The sequence below is a fragment of the Homo sapiens genome, chromosome 1 (assembly GCF_000001405.40).
Source record: "Homo sapiens chromosome 1, GRCh38.p14 Primary Assembly".
NCBI classification, from domain to species: Eukaryota; Metazoa; Chordata; class Mammalia; order Primates; family Hominidae; genus Homo; species Homo sapiens.
Window position 1 is genome coordinate 145,886,135 of NC_000001.11, and position 24,072 is coordinate 145,910,206.

The 24,072-nt window shown below is 47.7% G+C and overlaps 1 protein-coding gene and 1 long non-coding RNA gene across 21 annotated transcripts, besides 1 other annotated feature; one reads left to right on the forward strand and one right to left on the reverse strand.

Moving 5' to 3' along the window:
* Window positions 36-125: a silencer, noted in NCBI's record as "silent region_1268". NCBI's record gives its function as "represses an Ori minimal core promoter by ATAC-STARR-seq in GM12878 lymphoblastoid cells {active_cell/tissue: GM12878}" and the evidence as "EXISTENCE:reporter gene assay evidence [ECO:0000049][PMID:35858748]".
* Window positions 46-2,347, forward strand: ANKRD35-DT (ANKRD35 divergent transcript). Its single transcript, XR_001737758.2, has 3 exons — window positions 46-141; window positions 1,082-1,195; window positions 1,657-2,347. It is a non-coding gene; the product is annotated as an ANKRD35 divergent transcript (long non-coding RNA).
* Window positions 2,348-5,073: 2,726 nt separating this feature from the next.
* Window positions 5,074-23,916, reverse strand: ITGA10 (integrin subunit alpha 10). Of its 20 annotated transcripts, none has more exons than XM_047432895.1 (30): window positions 23,829-23,916; window positions 21,220-21,331; window positions 20,907-21,016; window positions 20,599-20,690; window positions 20,260-20,374; window positions 18,550-18,677; window positions 17,918-18,066; window positions 16,677-16,827; window positions 16,320-16,485; window positions 16,112-16,185; window positions 15,743-15,887; window positions 15,382-15,530; window positions 15,001-15,144; window positions 14,656-14,856; window positions 13,923-14,053; window positions 13,041-13,207; window positions 12,802-12,944; window positions 11,976-12,089; window positions 11,681-11,766; window positions 11,378-11,519; window positions 11,113-11,205; window positions 10,877-10,953; window positions 10,635-10,724; window positions 10,134-10,218; window positions 9,849-9,962; window positions 9,497-9,577; window positions 9,146-9,259; window positions 7,406-7,501; window positions 7,027-7,140; window positions 5,074-6,729 (listed from the first exon to the last, which is right to left on the reverse strand). In XM_047432895.1, exons 1-30 carry the CDS (start codon window positions 23,878-23,880, stop codon window positions 6,664-6,666), a joined length of 3,501 nt encoding a protein of 1,166 aa, XP_047288851.1. In that variant the 5' UTR covers window positions 23,881-23,916; the 3' UTR covers window positions 5,074-6,663. The 20 variants fall into 20 exon arrangements, 18 of the variants coding, with proteins under 18 accessions (XP_047288851.1, NP_003628.2, XP_047288865.1 ...); NM_003637.5 differs by having other exon boundaries at window positions 14,656-14,859; XM_047432909.1 differs by lacking the exon at window positions 9,146-9,259.

Sequence of the window (24,072 nt, forward strand, 5' to 3'; positions counted from 1 at the left end):
ACCCTCAGTTCCAGGCGGGGCCTCCGCCCCAAGCCCCGCCTCAGCCCCGCCCCTCGGAGAGCGGCAGCCAGAGGCAGGAGGGTCCCGGCTTCTACCAGGGGCTTCGGTCTCACGGACTGTCGCATTTGCATTTAATCACTGGTAAAGTTACCTCTGCCCCCGCCAACTCCCCCCGCCTCTCCCCCGCCACTATTCCCCGGCCAAAAACCCAAGCAAAAAAGAGCATTTGAAGAGAGCAGTTCGGAAATAGGAGATTGTAGTGTTAAGCAGAGCAGAGATAATGCGCGGCCCACGGTAACCTGGGGGACAAAACCTAAGGAAAGGTGATCAGGTTCAATTTTATTTTTTCTTTCTGTTTTCTGAGACAGTGTCTCTAATCTGTCCCTCTGTCGGCCAGGCTGGAGTGCATGGCGCTATCATAGCTCACCGTAACCTCCAACTTGTGGGCTTAAGGGATTCTCTCACTCCAGCCTCCCGAGTAGCTGAGACTACAGGCATGCACCACCACGCCTGGCTAATTTTTTTTTTTTTTTTTTAAGAGATGGAGTGTCTCTATGTTACCCAGTCTGGTCTTCAACTCCAGGCCTCAAGCGATTCTCCTCACCGTAGCCTCCCAAAGCGCTGGGATTATAGGCATGAGCCACCACTATTCCTGGCCCAGGCTCAATTTTTAAACGCACATCTGAATTAGAAAACAGCAGAGAGCGAGGAGAGCAATTTTATTTTAAGCTGCCCCCCCCGCCCCCGCCCCCGCATAGAAACAAAAAATAACCAAACAAAAAACTGTCTTCATTATTTCCACTGCCCTTGAAGTTCAGGCTCTTGGTAATTCTTGAACAGTCAGTCGCAGCCAACTGGTCTTCCTGTCTTTCTTTTCTCCTCTCCCCGCCGGAGAGAGCTCACTAAAATGCATATGAAAACCTACAGGGTAAAGCCCAAAGTTCTTAAGTGGTTTACAAGGCTCTTCAGGAGTCATATGCTGCCGCCCTCTTTCCCAGTCCCATCTCTCATTACTTTCACACAAAAGAGCCACTCAAACTGTTTCTTTTTTTATTATTATTATTTTTATTTTTTGAGACAGAGTCTCACCCAGACTGAAGTGCAGTGGCACAATCTCGGCTCACTCACCGCAGCCTCTGCCTTCCCGGTCCAAGCAATTCTCCTGCCTCAGCCTCCCAAGTGGCTGGGATTACAGGTATGTGCCATCACGCCCGCTAAGTTTTGTATTTTTAGTAGAGACAGGGTTTTGCCATGTTGGCCGGACTGGTCTCAAATTCCTGACCTCAAGTGATCCACCTGCCTTGGCCTCCCAAAGTGCTGGGATTACAGGCGTGAGCCACTATGCCTGGCCTTGTTTTTTTTGTTTTGAGACAGGGTCTCGCTGTCACCCAGGCTGGAGTGTGATAGCATGATCGGGGCTCACTGCAGCAGCCTTGACTTCTTAAGCTCAAGGGATCCTCCCACTTCAGCCTCCTGAGTAGCTGGGACTATAGGTGCACATCACCATGCCCAGCTAATTTTCATATATTTGGTAGAGATGGGGTTTCACCATGTTGCCCAGACTGGTTTTGAACTCCTGGGCTCAAGCGATTCTCCTCACCTCAACTCCCAGAGCACCAGGCCTCAAACTGTTCTAATTTACAATTCCCTTTGCAGCTGGTGATTAATCCTCCCAAGAATGCCTCCTGTCACATTTGATCCCTGCGGTGGAAAAGTTAAATATTAAATTTGAACTCAATTGAACGTGGACAGAAACAATGGTCACCAAGTCCCAGAACAGGTTGTGTGAGCCCCTTGAGGTGTTCGTCCAGCACTGTTTTGGAGAAATCTCTATTTCAATCTATTCCTACACGTTAGTTATTGAAAAACAATAGACAATTGCAAAAATAAGTTGAATGTTTTGTGTTCCTTGAGCCCAGTCGCCAAGGGCCCCGTGACTGGGCCTCATGCCAAACAACTCGTTACAAAAAGAGCTAGGGTCCCAGACTGCGCCAAAACTTCATGAGACCTCTCCTCGTCTGTGCATGGATGAGTGGCCAACTCTGGAGCCCAGGCTGTTGCTTCTCAGTCTGGTGGTGAATCCTCTATAGTCTTATGAGTGCGGTGTTCAACTCTGGAACCCAGGCTGTTGCTTTCCAGTCTGGTGGTAAATCCTCCATAGTCTGGTGAATGTAAACATCTTTTCCCTTCTCCCCTTCCCATTGCAATTTGCTTATTATATCAATCTGTTTATTATATCATTTGCTTACTTATTATATAATTTGCTTATTATATTAATTTGCTTGTACCATTTGCTTATTATATCTCCATTGCCATTTACATGGGATAAAGCTTGTTTACCCTTAAAGGTATTGTGTGTGTCTCTTCTTCTCCCCTTGTGCGTTTCCTGCACAGAACAACCCCGCAGCCAAATTTCTTTTTTCTATAAAGTTTTCCCTTACAACCCCGCCACCCCCACCGCCCAACAAAGTATGCCTCTTGTATGACATACTCCTAGTGCTTGTTGATATATAGCAACCACCTCTTTGCATTTGCCATTTTTTTTTGTTTTTGAGATAGTGTCTCACTCTGTCACCCAGGCTGCAGCGCAATGGCGTGATGTCGGCTCACTGTAACCTCCACTTCCTGGGCTCGTGCCATCCTCCCACCTCAGCCTCCCAAGTAGATGGGACTACAGGTGCGTACCACCATGCCCAGCTAATTGTTTCTGTATTTTTGGTAAAGACAGGGTTTCACATGTTGTCCAAGATGGTCTCGAACTCCTGAACTCAAGTGATCCACCTGCCACGACCTCCCAAAGTCCTGGGATCACAGGTGTGAGCCACTGCGTCCAGGCTGTATTTGCCACTATTTGTTTACATGTTTGTTTCTGCTACTGGACTGGACTCTTTGATGGTAGTTGTGTTTTATATTATTGCCATTGTCAAGCACATATTACGTGCTTGATATCTGATGAATAAATGAATGAAAAAAATTAATGAAGAAGCAAAGGAGCAACAACAAGGAAAGGAAGGAACAATACACAGTTGCTTCTTAAACTAATACTATTGCAAAGAAAGGGGTAACAAGATTGGGTTTAGAGAAAGCCCCAGTCTGGAGCTGACGATGGATAGGAGGGGAATCTCTAGTTGGAAAAATATATTAAAAGTGCTCTCTTAATCATATGGATAAAGAATTACATGAGGTCAGGGAGCAGGGAGGGATAGCATTAGGAGATATACCTAATGTAAATGATGAGTTAATGGGTGCAGCACACCAACACGGCACATGTATACATATGTAACAAACCTGCATGTTGTGCACACATACCCTAGAACTTGAAGTAAAATAAAATAAATAAATAAATAAAAGAAATTAATCCTAAAAAAAAAAAAAAAAGAATTACATGAGGTCAGTCACAGTGGCTCACACCTATAATCCCAGCATGTGGAAAGGCCAAGACGGGAGGATTGCTTGAGGCCAGGAGTTGGAGACCAGCCTAGGCAACATAGTGAGACCCCCTCTCTAAAAAAAATTTAAATATATATATATGTATACACACACAAACACACACACATATATATGTGTGTATATGTATATATGTGTGAGCATTAGATGAACCAGTACTCAAGGAAACCTACCTCCATTTGGGGGCTGACTGAGGGTAAAGAGGAGAGGAGAGTCTGTCAACATAATCTGGTTGCGGTCTCAGCCCTAGAAACTGTGTGCTCCATAAAGGCTGATCAAGTTACAGCCTGTATGAAGTGCACTGAGGGTCACAATGGAAACCCTTTCCTGTCACAAAACAACTCAGCAGGTTGACACAGAATGGTGTTCATGCCAAATAGGCCAGACAGGCCACAATTCTCAGGGTTAGGCAATAGAGGCAGAGACTCGGTCTCTAGAAGGCCATTGCTTAAGTGCACGTGTTCTCTCAGGATAATGGAAAAACTCTGGGTGTCTCAAGAGGAGCCTAGAAGATACCTGCTTAATGGAATCAAATAGATTTGATCTCTACCATTAGAACCTTAAATTCTTCAGCTAATTATCACCTTAGAGGGCTCAAAGAGCTTATTTCAAAAGGGATGAGGCAGGCCAGGCACAGTGGCTCATACCTGTAATCCCAGCACTTTGGGAGGCTGAGGCAGGCAGATCACGTGAATCAGGAGTTCAAGATCAGCCTGGTCAACATGGTGAAACCCTGTCTCTACTAAATATCCAAAAATTAGCTGGGCATGGTGGTGCACACCTGTAGTCCCAACTACTCAGGAGGCTGAGGCAGGAGAATTGCTTGGACCCAGGAGGCAGAGGTTGCAGTGAGCTGAGATCGTGCCACTGCACTCCAGCCTGGGCGACAGGGCGAGACTCTGTCTCAAAAAAAAAAAAAAAAAAAAAAAAAAAGATGAGGCATAGGACAAGATTTAGTGGATGAGACAACAGCACGTAGAAACACATCTTCACAATCTGGGAGATGGGTCAGAGAGCAGGAACACCACCACCTGGTGCTCCAGTATACTTTCTCCCTTAATCCTCACAAGGCATGATATGGTAGATTATTTTATGACAAAATAGTTTTATAATAATAGTTACCATTTACTGAGCATTTACTAAATGCTCACTTTTCTTGGATTATTTCATTTTGTCTTCATGACCCTAATAGGTTTAAAGATGAGAAAGCCAAGACTTAGAGAAGTTAAGTCTGTCCTAGGTCAAACAGACTTTTTAAGTTGTGTAGCCTAGATTTAAACCCAAATCTGCCTTCATTGTTAACCACTGTAATACACAGCCTTTTATTATCTGAGCCTCAAGGAAGTTATGATTTGCTGAAGGCCATACAGCTAATAAATGGCAGATAGGATTTCAATCTAAACCTCTGTGCTTCCCAGACCTTTATACTTTCTGGTCACTTAAGCAGGTGAGAATTACAGGAGGCTAGAATACATCTCCTGTGGGAAAGCCACAGAAAACATTTAAAATACTTCTTAACTTTGCCTTCCAGGGACTCCACTCTGTAAAATCCCAGGCAAAACAAGTATCTACCTCTCACTATTACTGAGCAGTCTATATCCTAGGGAATACATATAGAGCCAAAAGTCATTTGACACTGAACTTTATTTGTTCTGACCATCTGATATACTGTCCACCCCACTGGGAAACAGAGACAATGCCCATGAGGGTGGGCCTCTGCAGAAGGCCAGAGACATGCCAAAATAAATACTGTGGTCAGGCCTCAGGAACAGCCTGGGAGGACAGGTTCTGTGACTGCTAGTCAACCACCCAATCAGGTCTTCTCTCTTCTCAGCTCTTAATGAGTGCTGATTCTTCAAAAGGCTCCCAGAGCTGCACTCTGGAGACCAATAACTGACTTCGATATCTCAAGTCTTGATTACAAAGAAATATAAGTTACCCAGTTGTCTATGAGAATCCAACTGCCTTTACTGTCCATGACCCAAATATGGAGTGGGTTGGGGAGGGATCAGAGATAGAAATTAACCTGGAGATTTCCAGTAAGCATCAAGCAAGGGCTGGCAAACTGATTCCACCAGAGAAACCCTGCAAAATATGACCAGGGTTCTAGGGTTGCCCCAGAAACATTTTCCTAGGAGCTATTTGTGCTACATAACCAGTGCTGAGCAAGTAAGGGCTTGCTCCCCAGAGCCCCATGCCACCCATGTAGGTTTCTTAATGCAGACTCCACACTTTTAGATCCCATGGGGCTGCTGCTTCCCAAAGCTGGTAAAGTGAAAGCATTTCCCATCATCAAGTAGCAGTACTCTCTCTCCTGTCTGCTTTCTAAGCAGGCCCCAAGGAGGGCTCAAGAGTGAGTATAAGACTTGAGAGAAGTAGAGAAAATACTGCCTAGGTACACCCAGTCCTCCCTGCTATTCCAGCTCCAGCCACCTGAGGGCTCCTGGCTTCAGAAAATCAGGCACCAGGCCCTGGCTTTGCTCCCAGAAAAGGCTTGGAATCAGGAAGCCTATGCCCAGCGAGCCTGGGGGCAGCTCTGTTTCACCAACACCTGAGGGCGGTCGAGTGCACTACAGGTCTCAGGTTTCAGGGGGGATGGCAGTTGCCTGTCTAAAGGCTTCTCTGTTCCTTGGAATTGTACAGAATGTCTCTTGTGGCTTTTCCTCCTCCCTCCTTTTTTCCTGTTGACTCTCCCCATCCGGCTCTATGAATCACCAGAGTCCACAGGAAAGCAGCAGATGTTGACTTTACTCCTTTCAAGCCAACGTCAGCTCCCTCCTGTGGAGTGGGGAACAGGCAGGAAAGTGAGAGGGTGGAAGAATCGAGGAAGATAACCCTCATCCTTTCCAAACTGTGAGGGAAGATAAAGAGGGAATCTGAAAGGAGTCAGGCACCTAGGCAAAAAAATTATTGATTCCTGGGGATAAAAGGACCCCAAACAAAAGCCCCAGTGTTGGCTATGGAACCAGGATCACGAGGAGGAGGGAAGCAGAGGGTGGGAGCATGGCTAGTTTTGGTGCCAGCTCTTCTTGTCTGAGGTAAAGCCTCATCTCTAGCCAGCAGCATCCCTAGGACTCAAAAGTCAAGTCAGGCTGCTGGTCTGGGGAGATAGTCCAGAGGCGGCTTCTTGTCCCATCTGAGCCCCCAAACCTCTGCTTTTATGCAAGTCTCTTGAAGAAGCTGCCAGGGAGGACTTTCTAGACCCTTATTCTACATTCATTGCTCCAACTTCTCTTCTCTTTTTTCTTCCTCAGGGATTTTCTTATGGGCAAAGAAGCCAAGCTGTAGAAGAAAAGATAAGCGTCACTGCCAAATGCCTAGACTGGGAACCTTGCCAGTAGCTCTCAGACTTATCTGAGGTCTTCACTTTTGTTCTGTTTCCAAAAATGGAATTCAAATTTATTTTATTTGGCTTAGAATAATTTAACCAACATTTGTGGGGTACAGTGAAGGAGATCTGGGCATGACATCCACAGCCTGGTTAGCTGCCCAGCACAAATCCTGTTCTCTCTGCTATAATCAAGGATCCCTCAACTCATGGGCATCATGCTCCACACTCCCCACTAAAGCAGTGCTTACCTTCCACAGGCAGAAGACAAGGAGAGCAAGCAGGAGCAACCCTCCCAGGACACTGCCTATGAGGATCCACAGGGAGATGAGGATAGGCCGGGTCTGAACCACCTCCAAGAGGCTCTGCGTGGACAGAAGAGTAGTTTTCTACATGCATCCTATAACCCAGCTAGCCTCACCCCACATTATATCAAAGCCAGCCCCCAAATAGAATAAATAACCTCCTGCTACTTAAAGGAAAGAAACTGAGGCAGGAATGGCGGCAGTGGAACACTAGGATCCTGCTGCCTGATGGAGATGCCTTCGTTCTGAAAAAGCCCACGGGTGGCCCTACCACATACCCATCATCATTATTTTCACAGCTCTCAGACTCGGTCTCCAGCCCTACCTCACTCCAACGGGAGGCTTCAGTCAGCTGTAGGACACTGCCCTCTTCGGTTCCCAGCTCAAAGGTGCTGACCACCGTCAGGGACTTGAACTTGGCCTATGGAACAAGTGGATAGGAAGACATTTAAAATGAGCCATTATCAGGTGATATAGTTCTTTGGAATCCCAACAGCAAAGTTGAGGCTGAGAGGCATAATGTTGAGGGCTCTCAAGACCAGAAGAAAAGGCTGAAGACCAATGGGAAAAGAGAGGAAGGGTAATAGATGGAAAACCCCTGGTCACATCTGCTGCTGCTGTTTGTTTTCCAAGGACAATCAATACATCTGGTGCTTTACCTGAAATGCATTCTACTCCTCTTTCCTTTGGCTGACCTCTACCCCTCCTTTAGATTGAAGTTTAGATGTCATCCCCTCTGGGATTTAGGGAAATCATTCCTCCTAACCCCCACCAACACTGGTGTTTACTTCTGTTTTTCACTCCTGAACTATAAGATCCTCTAGGTTAAAGGCTGTGCCTTACTAACCTTTGTGTCCTTAGTGCCTACTAGATAGCAGAGTACCAAGTATGTAGTGGTTTCTTTTTTTTTTTTTTGAGATGGAGTCTCGCTCTGTCACCCAGGCTGGAGTGCAGTGGCGTGATCTCGGCTCACTGCAAACTCCATCTCTCGGGTTAATGCCATTCTCCTGCCTCAACCTCCCAAGTAGCTGGGACTATAGGCGCCTGCCACCACACCTGGCTAATTTTTTTATTTTTAATAGAGACAGGGTTTCACCGTGTTAGCCAGGATGGTCTCGATCTCCTGATCTCATGATCTGCCCACCTTGGCCTCCCAAAGTGCAGGGATTACAGGCGTGAGCCACCGCGCCCGGCCATGTAGTGGTTTCTTAATAAATCTTTGTTGAAAGCATGAATAGACTAGTGAAAAAAAGATACCAAAGAAGGACAGAGACTTGGAGAAGGGTGGTTTATTGGACTTAACTTCCCTAAAACATATGATGACATCCCAGGGATCTTGTGTTATTCCAGGTAGATATGGGAAAGCACAACATTGACCTTAGTGCCAAACAGCCATTACAATTAAGATGCCATTTCCCTGCCCAGGAGGAACTCACACTGACTCCTCACTACCTGTCATATTAAGTTCAGTTTCTCCCTGGCTTCAGAGGCCTTTCGTAATCTAGATCCCTCTCACCTATACAATCTTACTTCCCACCACTCCCCAGTACAAATCCTGCATGTAATATCAATAATTCATTCATTTAGCAAAAATATGTTAAGCGCCTACAATGAGTTAGGCATGAGGCTAAATGTTGGAGATATTCTCAGTGTCAACCTAATACAGGGCCTTTTACGTAATAGGAACGTGATGGATTCTTAACTGATTAAATTTAGGTATCCTGCAAATGTTGATTGATACAGCACTAAGGAATGGTCAGGAAAAAAAAAAGTAATGGTCAGTGGAGGAAAATACAAGGATAATAACTAGCTTCCACTGAGTGTTCACCATATGTCCAGCTCATTATTCATTTATTCTTTATAACAACCCCATGAAATTGGTATTATCTTCCCATTTTAGAGATTAGGAAAAAGAGGCTTAGAGAGATGAAATAACTTGCTCATGGTCAAATAGCTAGTAAGAGGCAAAAGTGAAACTTGAACGTGGGTCTGTCTACCTCCAAAACCTATGCTAAAGTTCCAGAAAGGAGCAGAAGTGGGGAGTACTAGAAAAGGAAAGGCTTACTCTTCGGAAAAATTCATTGTGAACCAGCCTCAATAGTCCAACAGAGACCTCAGTCCCCTTTGCCAGCTGCCCAAGGTGGCACCTCACCACCTGACACTGAGTATTGCTCCCATTCTAACAGAAGAGACAGAGAGAGACAGATCAGGACTCTGGGGTAGAAACATCCTCTTTCCCCACCTCTAGTTCACACAGTCTTGTCCCAAGGCACCTGACTCCATTTTCATTCCCACTCCAGATCAGGACCCTGGGGTGGAAAGATCCCTTCTTCCCCACTCCAGTTCCTACCCTCTTGTCCCAAGTCACCCAACTCCACTTGCATTCCCACTCTGGACACCCCTTTGTGACTCATACCAGTCTGTTTGTGTGTTGAAGCTCCTCTGGATGCACAGGTGGGCCTGGGGGTTCAGTCAGGTTCTGCACTATGCAGCTTGCCTAGAGGAAGATCCAACTTGAAAGACCCTCCTGATGGGGTGGCGCTAGCCACTCAAGGCTGAGTTGGAACATACCTACACCCTTGTAGTTCTTCCCCTTATAATACCTTTTTCTTCTCTCTAATAAGCCACATGTGTAAAAAGAAAGCCCCCCAGAGAGAAGAGCCCCAAGAGCAGAGGCCCAACAGATAGGGAGCTGGTGTGGTGTCCAGCTTCAGTGAGTCCACCAGCTCAAGGTGGCAGGATTCCATGCCCTCCTAGACCAGACTCACATTGTTAGTGATGACTTGAGACAGTGATAGGAAGTAATTGCCCCCATGGGCCACAGCTGGAAGGAGGGCTGAGATGATGAGGCCACTGACCACATAGCAGCCTAGGTTCTGAACCTAAGAGGAAGGTTGGGAATAGGAAGAAGTGGGAGACAGAAGACCCTTCCTCATTTGTTCCCCTTCACCCTAGATACCATTAAAATCCAAGAGAGACCCTTCCCATCCTTTTCCCACAAAGCTGTTGTTCCCCCACATTCTCCTCATGCCAAGACCCCTCCAGCTTCTCACCCTGAGAGTGGTTTTGAATTCTGGGCCAGGACCCACTGGGAGGGTCCCATATGGGTGAACCTCATAGCGGTGCAGGGTAGACTCACTGTGTGAACACCAAGTCAGGAAGTACATGGTCACAGCCATAACACAGACACAGGGGCACATGATCAGCACACAGACGTGGATTCAGAGGAGGCAGGGCCAGCACATGGATAAAGAGGTGGGGGTACATGGAGAAGACAGAAGTAGAACATGACACAGACAATGCAAGCTTTATGGCTACATCCCATATCCCCTCATCCCAGCTCCAGTGCCCAAGGCCTGGCAAAACACTATACCTAGGAAAGTAAGATGCTTAAAAGGGAAGATTCAGCATGAATAGGATTGAGGGCAAAAAGACTGAGCAGCCGCAAGGGCTTGGGTTTTTGGAAAAACTGAGGCACATGGAAGGGGAGGGAAGCAGCATAAGGGTATGAGTCTGAGGTCAGAACTGGGTCCCACCCTAGAAGCTGGGCATACCTAGAGAACAGGAGGTGGGGCTCATATTGGATGTAGGCTGAGGTCTGGGCTGTGTTATCTTGAAGGGTCCCATTTCTCTCCAGGCTGTCACTGTAGGGTCAGAGGGGAGAGGCTCACATCTCAACCCCTCCTCAGAAGACACCCTTCTCTGTTAATAGAGGAATCAATGTTGTTCCTCCCCACCCCTCCAGTCAAGACTCAGTAGGAGGAGAGGTCTGGAAGAAAGTTCCCTTCATTCTCACCTGCTGGCAGTCAGCTTCACGAAGACCTGGCTCAGGAGAGAGGAGCAGCTAAACTCAAACTCTAGCAGAAAGGTCACCTAGGGGCAGGGGACACAGGGTAATGGTAGAGTCTTCCTCATGGAACAACTACAGAGGAACAGGAGCCCTTGTGCGCCCCCTTCCCTGAAGTCCCAGGACCCTCAGATCCCAGCCTCTGCCCTCCTAGAGCCCTCTTTTCATCCTAGACCCCAACCCACCTTGGCTCCAGTCTGGAAGACAGGATGCCCCACACTGCAGAGCCGGGCATGAGCAGAAGGGGCGGCACATTCCACCTTTATTGGGCTCTCTCTCTGAGGGCAGGGGAATGGAGATAGAAGCTGGAGCTGGGGCTGCAACTGCTGTCCTACCCACAGCCTCTAAACACTGAGCCTTTCTCTAGAGGACCTCACAGCTGAGGCCAATACCCCAATCTTCTTCCTCCTCCTTTCTTTCCTTCTCCCACACCCCCTCCTCCAAAGGCACCTGAGGAGTGAGACTGGCCAGGTGGAGGTTTCTAGAGAAGATGAGACTCAGGCTCGTATTGTAAGCATTTTCCTTTCTGTTCTCCAGAGTTGTAGATACCAGCACTTTCCGCCGGCCACCTCGAACCACAAATGGGGCCTTCCTGGGAATGATGAATGAGGGAGAGACCAGGAGTTGAAGGAGGGGAGTGCCAAAAGTCTCACTTTTGTTATCATGGGTAAGAAACAACCCCCTACCCGCCCTTCGAGTCCCTTCCAGTCTGTCTCAGGTCACCCTGGTTTGCCTAGTACATGTCCATCCAACCTGGAGCCTCTGATGTCCATATTCACTTGAAGCACCAGGTCTGTGACACATTCATTGTCAGGGCCACAATCCTTTGAGAAGGGGACCTGGAAGAAAGGGAAGGGGCTAAGGGTTGAGAGGAAAGCAAGGAGGAAAGGAATAGAATAGGGGGAAAGTGAAAAGACAAAAGTGGGTATATTTTGATTAGAGGAGCCCAGGTCAGATTTCACCATGATCTCATGTCTTCTCCCTCCCTCCCTTTTCTCTTGAAGGAGGGCAGTGTTGGGAGCAAGGGGCAGGGCATGGCACTGCTGACCAGCTTTTGTATAGAGGTGGGTGAGCCCTCATTCAGCACAGGCCCTGGCTTTGTAGTATTGTCCAAGGCAAAGGTCACAGTCAAGGCCACTGGCCGGAGGTAATCTGATGTATCCTGAAGGAAAACAGAGTCACAGAGTCACAGAGTCAAGGATCTTGTGATAATTGTAGTGATCATTTATGAAGCATTTTCTGTGTGCTGGGCACTGTCCTAAGATCTTAACTGTATTACTAAATTTAATTAATTAGTTAATTTATTTATTTATTTATTTATTTTTGAGACAGAGTCTCGCTCTGTCGCCCAGGCTGGAGTGCAGTGGCATGATCTCGGCTCACTGCAAGCTCTGCCTCCTGGGTTCAGGCCATTCTCCTGCCTCAGCCTCCCGAGTAGCTGGGACTACAGGCACCTGCCACCACGCCCGGCTAATTTTTTGTATTTTTAGTACAGATGGGGTTTCACCATGTTAGCCAGGATGGTCTCGATCTCCTGACCTTGTGATCCACCTGCCTCGGCCTCCCAAAGTGCTGGGATTACAAGCGTGAGCCACTGCGCCCGGCTAAATTTAATTTTAATACAACTCCTATGATACAGTTATTATTATCACCCCTTTGCAGACAAGAAAACTGAGGGTTGGACTTGCCAGAATTCATAGGTGGTAAATGGCAGAGCTAGGATTCAAACCCAGATCAGCCCTGACTCCAAAGTCTGAATCATCTCATTTTCCCGGCTTTGGCTTTCTTGCTGATTCAGCTAAAATTCCTCCTCTGACCCAGCTTTCTCCTCATTCTCAGGCCCTGATGCTAAGCAGTTACTGCCCTCTCCTTACCAGCACATGGAAGTGTAGCTGCTCACAAGTGACATTCCCCACACTGAGCCGGAGCCTCCGAGGGGACAACCTCTGGCCAGAGCCATCAAATGCTGCACGTGCCCCAGCAGTCCATTCATCCAGTGATGCGGTGAACCTCATGTCTGAATGAAGGAGGCAAGAGTGAGGGTGGAAAGGGGTCTAGTGAGGAAGGCATGCAAGGAATTGAGAGTTGCCTGTGATGCATTTTAGTCACTCACAGAATTGGTGATCCCAGCGACCAGGAGTACGGGAGGTCACTTGGAAGCAAAGGGCTGCAGTCAGACAGACTGCCTCTTGGCCTCGCCGCCTACAGTCCCTCTGAACCACACTGATGGCCTGTGGGGTCACCTCCAGTGATGGGGTCAGATGGACAATGGGCCGGGAGCTGGGAACAGTGTGGAAAAGAAATTCTAGCAGTAGGAGGTAAGCCCTCTGAGAAGTGCAAGCCCAGTGTTTGCTTCCCCATGGTCAAAACAAAGAAGGAGGGGCTGAATGCACATGTCACCCTCCCCCGAACCCTCTGACAGAAGTAAGATAATAGATTCATGTCATTGATCTTTTTTTTTTTTTGAGATGGAGTTTCACTCTGTGGCCCACGCTGGAGTGCAGTGGGGCGATCTCAGCTCACTGCAACCTCTGCCTCCTGGGTTCAAGTGATTCTCCTGCCTCAGCCTCCCGAGTAGCTGGGATTACTGGTGCCCACAACCATGCTCAGCTAATTTTTTTGTATTTTTAGTAGAGACGGGGTTTCACCATGTTGGTCAGGCTGTTCTTGAACTCCTGGCCTCAAATGATCCTCCTACCTTCGCCTCCCAAAGTGCTGGGATTACAGGTGTGAGCCACTGTACCCAGCCCTAGATTCACTTCAATACGCACTTACATGCTAGGCACTGTGTTCAAATCATTATATGGATTATCTCATTTAATCTTCACAATAAACCTATAAGGTAGGTACTATTACTACTGTCATTTTATAAACTAAGAATGGAGGCACAGAGTAAGTTGACCAAGAAAACCAAATCTCCATCTGTGACTTTAAGGCCCTTGCCTTTAACAGCTATGCTATGCTGTCCACCACCACCTGAGCTGGGACCCCTCACCTGAGCAGGATGGCTGCCCCCTGGGCACCCACAGCCACATCGACCAGATCATCTCCATCCAGATCTAGCCGACCATCCACACTTCGGCCAAAGTAGCTGAGGGCATGTGGCATGGAGGCAGCAGCAATCCTCTGAGAGGAAGAGAGAGAATACTGAGGCAGGGACCCATACACCTAGTTTCTCAGGCCTCCTGCCTTGCTCTTTCTTTTTATTTATTTATTTATTTTTGAGATGGAGTTTCACTCTTGTTGCCCAGGCTGGAGTGCAATGGTGTGATCTTGGCTCACTGCAACCTCCGCCTCCCAGGTTCAAGCGATTCTCCTGCCCTAGCCTCCTGAGTAACTGGGATTATAGGTGTGCGCCACCAGGCCCGGCTAATTTTTTGTATTTTTAGTAGAGTTTCATCATGTTGGCCAGGCTGGTCTCGAACTCCTGACCTCAGGTGATCTGCCTGCCTCAGCCTTCCAAAGTGCTGGGATTACAGGCGTGAACCACCACACCCGGCCATGCCTTGCTCTTTATAATGCTCCCGTCAGTCCTGGGAATAAGAGAAACTTGCCTGTGTTCAGGAGTTCTTAGTTCAGCAACCTGTCCACTGCCTTATGTTTTTGCCTACTAATAAAAGCACTTGTTCAGTTTGGGTCTCAAGCCAAGGAGACTATTGACAAGCAAAGAGCATCCCCCTATTCCTCTTCCTACAACCGTGCCCCTGCTTTATTTGGGTACTCCTGACCTGGGCAGGATGGGGCCTGACTCCACTCTGGGTTCCATGGTACAGGTACAGTGCTCCCTGGTGCCCATCTTCCAGAGGCGCCCCCACAGCCACATCAGCAAAACCATCTTGGTTCAGATCAGGAAGAGCTCCCATGGCAAAGCCAAACCGAGCATCCTGGGGGGGTTCTGGCTGAAGTGTTCCTTGGAGGGTCAGCAAGGACTGCTGGTGGAGGAGAGAAGATAGAAGATGCTAATCTGGCAGACCCAACCTCTCAGCAAACCCTCAAATATGTGCACCTTCCCTCCTTTCCTCCCTCCACCCCCACAATGCAAGTCCAGGGCAGGGGGTCCCAGCAAGTCTCACCTGGCCTACCAGATACACATAAACACGTCCTGTTTCCTTGTTCTGGGGTCCCAGGAACATGGGGGCAGCCACAAGTAAGACATCAGTTGTTCCATCCCTATCTGTATCCAATGGGCAGAGCTCACTGCCAAAGTATGAACCAATCTGGGGAATGGTGGGTGATGATGACCCCAGAGAAAAGGGAAGGTAACTGTAGACAAGTGGACTCAGTGGGAAGCACTCACCAGCCTGCTAGTCTGCTCCTTACATCCCTGACAGACTCTGCCAACCAGAATTCCGCACAGACTTTGGAGGCCTCTCTCTTACCCACTTCACACTCCTCCCCAACAGCCCAGAGGTCCCTGGGAATCCAAAGGTCCCACCCTTCCTTGGATGCCCTACCTGCTCCCCCTGGAGGCTCTGGGCAACCCTCACAGCCCCATCTTTCTTAAGCTGGAAGGCGATGACTTTTCCTCGATGTCTAAATCGAGGAGCCCCAGAGAGAAACAGGCGGCGTCCACCCCGCAAAAGCATGGAAGAAACAGAGTAACCTAGAAGTGGGCAAAGTAACAGAGGTAAAGGAAAAGAAGATGGGGTCCAGAGTAGGGGGGTTCCCTAAAGGCATAGCAGGAGGTCCCAAGGGAAGTAACCAGAGGTCAGTGAGAAACCGCATGAGTTAAGAGGGAGTATTTCATACCCGCCCCCACTAGGGATGTATTTCCTCCCCTACCCTGTAAGTCCTCTGCAACTCTCTGCTGCTCACCCAGGTAGGCTGCATGGTTCTGCAATGCAGGGGGGAACTCGTCTTCCAGTGCCATTCGTGGGGGGAAAAGGCGGTGGCCTCCTTCAAGCCATAGCACAGAGCCTCCCCAGTCATAGGCCCCCACCATCCCAAAAAGAATCCCATCCTGTGGGACAGAAGCAGATGGGGTCACTGAGAAGACAGTGGGGAATAAAGAGAAAAAAAACGTTCCAGGAGTGAAAAGATCACTGAGGGTCTGCTGGGCTCAGTTGGAAAGGCATGGGAAGGTGAGCATGGAGGCTGGTTAAAGGAGGAATCTGGAGGGCCCTGTGGTTGAAGTTATCTGAGTCAGAGAATGGGAGAAGTAATGAAGGGGTCAATCTGTCCAACCTTTAGCCGATGAGTGGAGAAACCAATCTGAGACATTTCCAGCCCAAAGGAGCTTTCGTTTTCTGCATGGGACCCTTGGTCATGAGAAAACATTGAGACAATATCAGGGGAAGACAGTTTCCCCTTTGACCTACTGAACTCACTCCAGAGCCCCACCTACACTCCAGAACTTCTCCCGCCCTGTCCATTTCTCCAGAGTAATCCTCACCTTCAAGGCCAAAAATCCGATCTCCTAGTGCATCCACAATGTCAGTCAGAGCAGCCTCATCTGTGACATTGAAGAAGAATCGCTCATCTGGATCACTGGCAATAGTTCTAATTTCTCTCAGGAAAGAGCTGGGATCTCGCTGCCGCCGGAGGTAGTGACCAAGGACCTAAGAGGTCATAAGATCAAGGAATGAGGCATTAGAGTTGGTACAGAACACAGCCAACTAACATGCTGTGGCTGAAGTCTGGGAAGTAGTTAATGCCCTTGTTTTCCTCAAGTTCCCAGTCCTTGGACAGTTCACAAGACACTGCCCCCCTGCCACTCCCCAACTCTTCCAGATCCAGGGTGAATTCTCACTGCAATCCCATAGCGTGTCACTCTTCCAGCCTCACAGGCCTTTAGTGCTGCAGGAAGCTCCTCTCCATCATGGGACTCTCCATCAGTGACAACCACCAGTAGCCTGGCAGCCTCGGGTCGGCCCCCATGGGACTGACTGAACCCTTCTGTGCTGAGAAGAGAAAGGAGTGAGGTGAGATCAGATGTATGCAGACACACACACACACACACACATACACACACACACACACACACACACACACACACACACACACACAGGATTTAACATCAGCACTTCCCTGAGGTCAGGCATCTTGCCTTTTAGGCCATTTCCTGAGTATTTAACATGGAGATGGCATGGAGTGAGAGCTCAAATGTTTGAAGGTCATAGAACATACAGAGTAGCTTATCAGTCCAAATAAGTACAACGTTCATACACTCAGATTCATTCAACAAATATTGCACTTGGGAGGGGAAATATCGATGAAATATAGAACGGAAAAGAATGATCTGGGCAGGGACTCCTCCCAGAGATGAGTTGTTTTGTTTTGTTTCAATTTTACCACCGTGCCCCTAGAGATGAGTTTTGGATCATGTTTGGAACGTGGGCTAGGACATCAGTAGTGGAGAACCTGTGGGCCAGGATCATTGTTGGAGTGGAGGGATAGAAAGAGACTTCTGTCTGTGAAATATGGAGAGACACAGACATAGATACTTTGTAGAAATGCAGTGAGAGGGAGTACAATGACAGCCCACTTAGCCTTCCTCTTTGTACCATTAGTGTACATACAAAGAAAGTATGCAAGACATCTTGGGATATACACACTGCACTCCAAACCTGCCCTAACTCTTCTTCTTCTTCTTTTTTTTTTTTTAAGGGAAAGATTTTCATTTCATTTTATTTTATTTTATTTTAGATGGAGTTTTGCTCTCGTTGCCCAGGCTGGAGTGCAATGTTGTGATCTCGACTCACTGCAACCTCCACCTCCCGGGATTAAGTGATTCTCCTGCCTCAGCCTCCGAAGTAGCATGCCTCTGAACAGGCATGCGCCACCATGCCTGGCTAATTTTGTATTTTTAGTAGAGATGGGGTTTCTCCATGTTGGTCAGGCTGGTCTCGAACTCCTGACCTCAGGTGATCCGCCTGCCTTGCCTCCCAAAGTGCTGGGATTACAGGCGTGAGCCACCATGCCTGGCCCCGCCCTAACTCTTCTAAGCCTTCATTGCTCTAGCCTCCCACACCTGTCTTCCCAATGCCTCACCAGGCCACCATTATTGCTTGGGCAGTCTTTGTTTCTCGTCCCTCCCGCCGACTGAGGTTCTTTGCTGCTCTCACCACTTCTTCCTTCGTTCGGAAATCTCCCAGGGACCACTCATGTACAGGGCTCTCCCCATACTGTACCAGTCCCACCTGGGAATAAAGCGCATTCAAATGAAATGTATGTATGTGAGATGGGGGGAGAGGAGGAAGAAGAAAGTATATAAGAGAGGAGAGATGAACACCTGGATACTACTGAAGACAACACCTACATTTATCCCCTCTCTCTCTGTCTCTCCCCTTCCAAGCCCATCCATATTGCCTTTCTCTCTCTCTCTAAGAAATGAGGTCTCACTCTTTCACCCAGGCTGGAGTGCAGTTGTGTGATCAAAGCTCACTACAGCCTCAAACTCCTGGGCTCAACTGATCTCTTGCCTCAGCCTCCTGAGTAGCTGGGACTGTAGGCGCATGCCACCATGCCTGGCTATTTTTTTTTTCTTTCATATTTTTAGAGATGAGGTCTCACTGTATTGCCCAGGCTAGTCTTGAACTCCTGGCCTCAGGGGATCCTCCCACCTCCACCTCTTAAGTAGGTGCCACAAGCAACTGTGCCCAGCTCATATTGCCTTCTCTTACCTGTATCTGTTCTGGGTCAATAAACAGTTTCCCTACCAGTCTTCGTAGGAAGGTCTGAACTTCAGACCAGGGGTAGATGCTGTTGGAGCCATCCAAGACAATGACAACATCCATGTATGTTGGGCAGCCTAGAAGGAAGGAGAACACTGAGGTAGAGGACACTGAGCTGGGGGCAACAAGGGAAAGAGGTCACAGGAGGACACATTCAATTTAGACATTTATAAGGCACTTCTTACATGCAAAGAAGGTACTGTGCCAGGCTCTGTGTAAGTGTAGAAATTAATAAAATATTCCTTTAGTAATCTTTAGTAATTGTGTGTATGTAAGTATACATATAAATGTATATATATGTATATATGTATATATAGGTATATAAACACACACACCTACACATTTATATACATAGATATAATTTATATATACAATGTTCTAAAAAACAAGAAGGAATTAAATGCTATGTAGGAACATAGCAATGACTGTATGGTGGGGGAACAAAAGCAGAGTGGTTCTGATGGTGAGGAATGAAACATGGTAGCAACTATGAAGACTGAAAATGTTTAAGGAGAAGAGAATATTAGGAAAGGCATGTGGGTAGAGAACATTTTTTTTTTTTTGAGACAGAGTCTCGCTCTATTGCCCAGGCTGGAGTGCAGTGGCGCAATCTCGGCTCACTGCAAGCTCTGCCTCCTGGGTTCACGCCATTCTCCTGCCTCAGCCTCCCGAGTAGCTGGGACTACAGGCGCCCGCCACGACACCCGGCTAATTTTTTGTGTTTTTAGCAGAGACAGGGTTTTACTCTGTTAGCCAGGATGGTCTCGATCTCCTGACCTCGTGATCCACTGGCCTCGGCCTCCCAAAGTGCTGGGATTACAGGCGTGAGCCACCACGCCTGGCCCATTTTGTTTGTTTTTGAGACAGAGTCTCACTCTGTCGCCCAGGCTGGAGTGTAGTGGCATAATCATGGCTCACTGCAGCCTGGACCACCTGGGCTCAAGTGATCCTCCCACCTTGGCCTCCTGAGTAGCTGGGACCACAGGCATGCACCACCATACCCAGCTAATTTTTTTATTTTTTATTTTTGTAGAGATGGGGTCTCTCTATGTTGCCCAGGCTGGTCTCAAACCTCCAGACCTCAAGCAATCCTCCTGCGTTGGCCTCCCAAAATGTTGGGATTACAGGCATGAGTTACTGTGCCAGGCCAGATCATGGACTCCTGATAAGGAGTCTGAATTATTATTATTATTATTTTTGAGATGGAGTCTCGCTTACTCTGTCACCCACGCTAGAGTGCAGAGGCACAATCTTGGCTCACCGCAACCTCCACCTCCTGGGTTGAAGTGAGAGTCTCCTGTCTTAGCCTCCCGAGTAGATGAGATTACAGGCATGCACTAGCGCACCCAGCTAATTTTTGTATTTTTTTTTTTTAGTAGAGATGGAGTTTCACCATGTTGGCCAGGCTGGTCTTGAACTCCTGACCTCAAGTGATCTGCCCACCTTGGCCTCCCAAAGTGCTAGAATTACAGGTGTGGGCCACCACACCTGGCCAGGAGTCTGAATCTGTTAGGAAACATGGAGCTTTTGCAAGCACATTAGGTAGCAATGAGGATAGCCATGCAGGCCCTTTGCCAGGCATCATACCGCTTTGCCCCATCTTTTTCCCACCCAGTATCTCCTTCTGGGAACCAAGTACTCAGCCTTCCTCTGGCTCACGTTGGGCAGTGGGTGCCAGGCTTCCCTGAGGCTGGAATGAAGCATCCACACGGGCACATATCCCAGAACTGAAGACAGAGCTGCCACAAGCACGAGACCAGAGAGGGGCACAGGCCTGGGGATGGGGGAAATAGTTACTCCCAGGCTTGGGAGGGCACCCTCAGAACATGCTCCCAGTTGAAGGAGGCATGAAGACTACTCCCTGACATTACCTACCTTTTGCTTTCTAGGGTTTTTAACTCCTTGACCCCTCCACACAGACCATTTTCCCTTACCACACTTCTCTTTTTTCTTTTATGGACCTTCAGAGACACTGCCACCACCCTCTCCTTAGCTCACCATGAATCCCCCATCACCATCTGTCTCTAACAGAGACATCCCCAGGTGCATATTCACAGCAGGATGAGATGAATTTCCCAGTTGGTAGTCACCTGGTTGGAAGGAGGTGGAAGAGAATGAGATCATGGGGTCATAGATGGGGTGCTTGAATTCATGTGATTTTGGAGGAGAATGAGCAGGGATTGGTATCAGATTGGGGACAGGGAGTATGCGGATTTTAGGGGTGAAAAAGCTGAGGTATAGGGAGTTGAAGCTTCTAGAGTATCAAAGTCAGGGGTTAGGAGGAGAAGGGTCAGGCATCTTCTCACCTAAGTGGCCCTTGGCACATGGGGCATTGTGGGCCCCCCCTACAGGGCAGCGATAAACGTCCCCCCTCCGGTCGCCTGAAGGCCCATCCCAGGGGGCGCCCACCAGCATCCTGGGAAGAGGATGTGAATGTAAGTAAGCACAGGGCAAACATGACCCTTGACATAGGCCAAAGGGAAAGAGCATGGAGGTGGTAAGTTTAGAGCCCCAGCCACTTTCAAAAGACCAGATTAGTTTAGAGTCCCATCTATCTTGCCTCCCCTTTGTTAGCACTACTGCAGTCCCAATCCCCTGGCACTCCGGTTTCTTCCTCACCATCGCTGTCCACCCCCAACATGTTGTAAGACACTGTATCCAAATTCAGCTTCTGGTGGCCCTGGGAATAGGCGTGGGTGATGTTCATCCAGGTTAAAGGGGGAGCAGAGACCTGTGGGGTCAGGATCATAATGTTAGTATGAGGTAGTGAATGGCTAGAGGCACAGCCCGAGAGAAGCTGTGAGGAAGCGTCTTAATCTCAGTCTGCCTGCCTGCTTTTTCACTCATAAGCTTTTCTGGCCTCTCTCAGTGTCATGTACTCAGAGCTCCAGGCAAAGATGATTCCCTTCCTGTGTTTGTGTCCAGATGCCTAAACTGTGGCCCTCTGCCATGCTGATGTACAGCTGTATTTCCATTCCCACCCCTGAAATTTCATTCACAGACATGTCTGAAAAGGTCAAGTTACTTTTTTTTTTTTTTTTTTTTTTTTTTTTTTGAGACGGAGTCTCTCTGTCGCCCAGGCTGGAGTGCAGTGGCGTGATCTCGGCTTACTGCAGGCTCCGCCCCCCTGGGTTCACGCCATTCTCCTGCCTCAGCCTCCCGTGTAGCTGGCACTACAGGCGCCTGCCACCTCGCCCGGCTAATTTTTCTTATTTTTAGTAGAGACGGAGTTTCACCGTGTTAGCCAGGATGGTCTCGATCTCCTGACCTCATGATCCGCCCGCCTCGGCCTCCCAAAGTGCTGGGATTACAGGCGTGAGCCACCGCGCCTGGCTACTCTTTTCCACAACATTCCTTCCACACACTCTCCTCAACAAACTGTGAGGGTCAAAAGAGGGAGAGGGCCTTTCTGTATCCCCAGAACAACCATTGCTTCCAATTCTCCCCAAAATAGGGGGAATGAAAGGAAGCTAAGGAGCACTGCATGTCTGGCTCTCTCCTTCTCTATCTCTTCCTGACTTCCAGTGTCATTGTCACACTCTCACTGTCTTTTTCCAATGTCTAGGTCCCTGGTTGATTCCAGCCTTGGAAATCTCAGTGGTAATTAACTGGGTGGGGCCACTCGCCTGCCCACACACATAGTTTGCCATCCATCCTTTCCAAGGGTCCCATCATCCTGAAGTTTCCCACAACCTGCTTCCTTTTTAACTAATCTACTCTCCCAACTGGTCCCCTACCTACCTCCATGGTTTCCTCAGCCTTCAGCCCATTCTAAAGGTGCCCGACCCTAGCTAATCTTCCCTTTTGACCCCAATGCCTTTAAAATCAGAGCTGGTATTTTAGGAAACAATGATTACAGGGCACTGCCAAGGAAAAATTCCAGGCCTCTTGTCCTTCCCATGGTCCTTTCCCCAACTATGTCTTGCTCTGTACTTCTAAGCAACCCCCTCTCAGGCTACCCCCTCACCATTACCAATGGCTATAGCTTTATCCCAAACCATGCTCATTTTCAGAAAGGTGTTTAGTATGTGAGCAGTTTTGCATCCAGAAAACTGGCAGGGCTGTATGACCAGAAACTGCAGCTCATTGGTTAGATAAACCCAGAGTTCTGACCACATAGTTAGTCAGTTATGCCTCAGGCCCCAGGGACCACCAAGGGTAAGAAGTTAGGGAGGGGATAATAGGAATCAGACTAGCCACGTGGAAGGTCACATCACATTTCTTTTTTGTCTCCTTACCCCTATAGGGCTTAGGATGAAGATTTTATATATTTAGATACAAATCTCAGCCAAGCATGGTGGCTCATGCCTATAATCCCGGCACTTTGGGTGGCTGTCGGGGGCGGATTGCTTGAGTCCAGGAGTTAAAGACCAGCCTGGCCAACATAGCAAAACTCTGTCTCTAAAAAAAAAAAAATTAGCCAGGCGTGGTAGCACACGCCTATAGTCCCAGCTACTCGGGAGGCTAAGGTGGAAGGATCACCTCAGCCTGGGAGGTTGAGGCTAGAGTGAGCCATGATCATGCCACTGCACTCCAGCTTGAATGACAGAGTGAGACCCTGTTTCAAAAAAAAAAATTAGCTGTGCGTGGTGGCGCGTACCTAGTAGTCCCAACTACTGAGCTGTGGTTGCACCACTGCACTCCAGCCTAGACAACAAAGTGAGACCCTATCTTTAAAAAATAATAATAATTATTATATACAATATATAACTATATAATATATAATTATGTTATATATTATATGTATATTATATATAATATATAATTATGTTATATATTATATGTATATTATATATAATATATAATTATGTTATATATTATATGTATATTATATATAATATATAATTATGTTACATATTATATGTATATTATATATAATATATAATTATGTTATATATTATATGTATATTATATATAATATATAATTGTTATATATTATATGTATATTATATATAATATATAATTATACATTATATATTATATAATTATTAGATACAAATCTTACACAAGGTCCTAGGCAGCTTTAGCCCCTGCCAGTCTCAATATTCAAACAGTCATATGTGAGGGCATAAAAATGCACAAGGACACAGACACACATACAAGAAATGTACAACCAGTGTTCGCTTCCTAACCTAAATCCCAAAGAATTTTAACTATAATGGTCCCAATTCCAAACAATCTATGTATCTTCCATCCCCACCAGAAACCAAGAAGTTAACTTCCCTCACCTGTCAGGAACACCAGGGGCAAGAACAGGTGAGTGACGAAGGGGAGTTCCATGCCTGATCGGTTTCTGTCCAGTATGAGAAGTCCTCTGGCCTCTGTCCCTCTCCTTTTCTGTTTTCTTCACTTTCCCTCCCATCCTGCCCCCTCCCAATGGCAGCTAAAAATAAAGTTGGAAGGAATGGGAGGAGTGATGGTGGGGAACTGTGGGGAGCCCCAGACCAAGGAAAACACTGAGCGATCTTAGTC

Coding starts and splice junctions, on each gene's coding strand:
- ITGA10 (XM_017002622.1), bottom strand. CDS start 21,222: ATGGTGAGGAAGAAACCGGAGTGCCAGGGGATTGGGACTGCAGTAGTG. Junction 16,828..17,917: donor CAAGCAATAATGGTGGCCTG/GTGAGGCATTGG, acceptor TTCTCTTCTCAG/CACAGAAGGGTTCAGTCAGT. Junction 16,186..16,319: donor TCGGATTTTTGGCCTTGAAG/GTGAGGATTACT, acceptor CTCATGACCAAG/GGTCCCATGCAGAAAACGAA.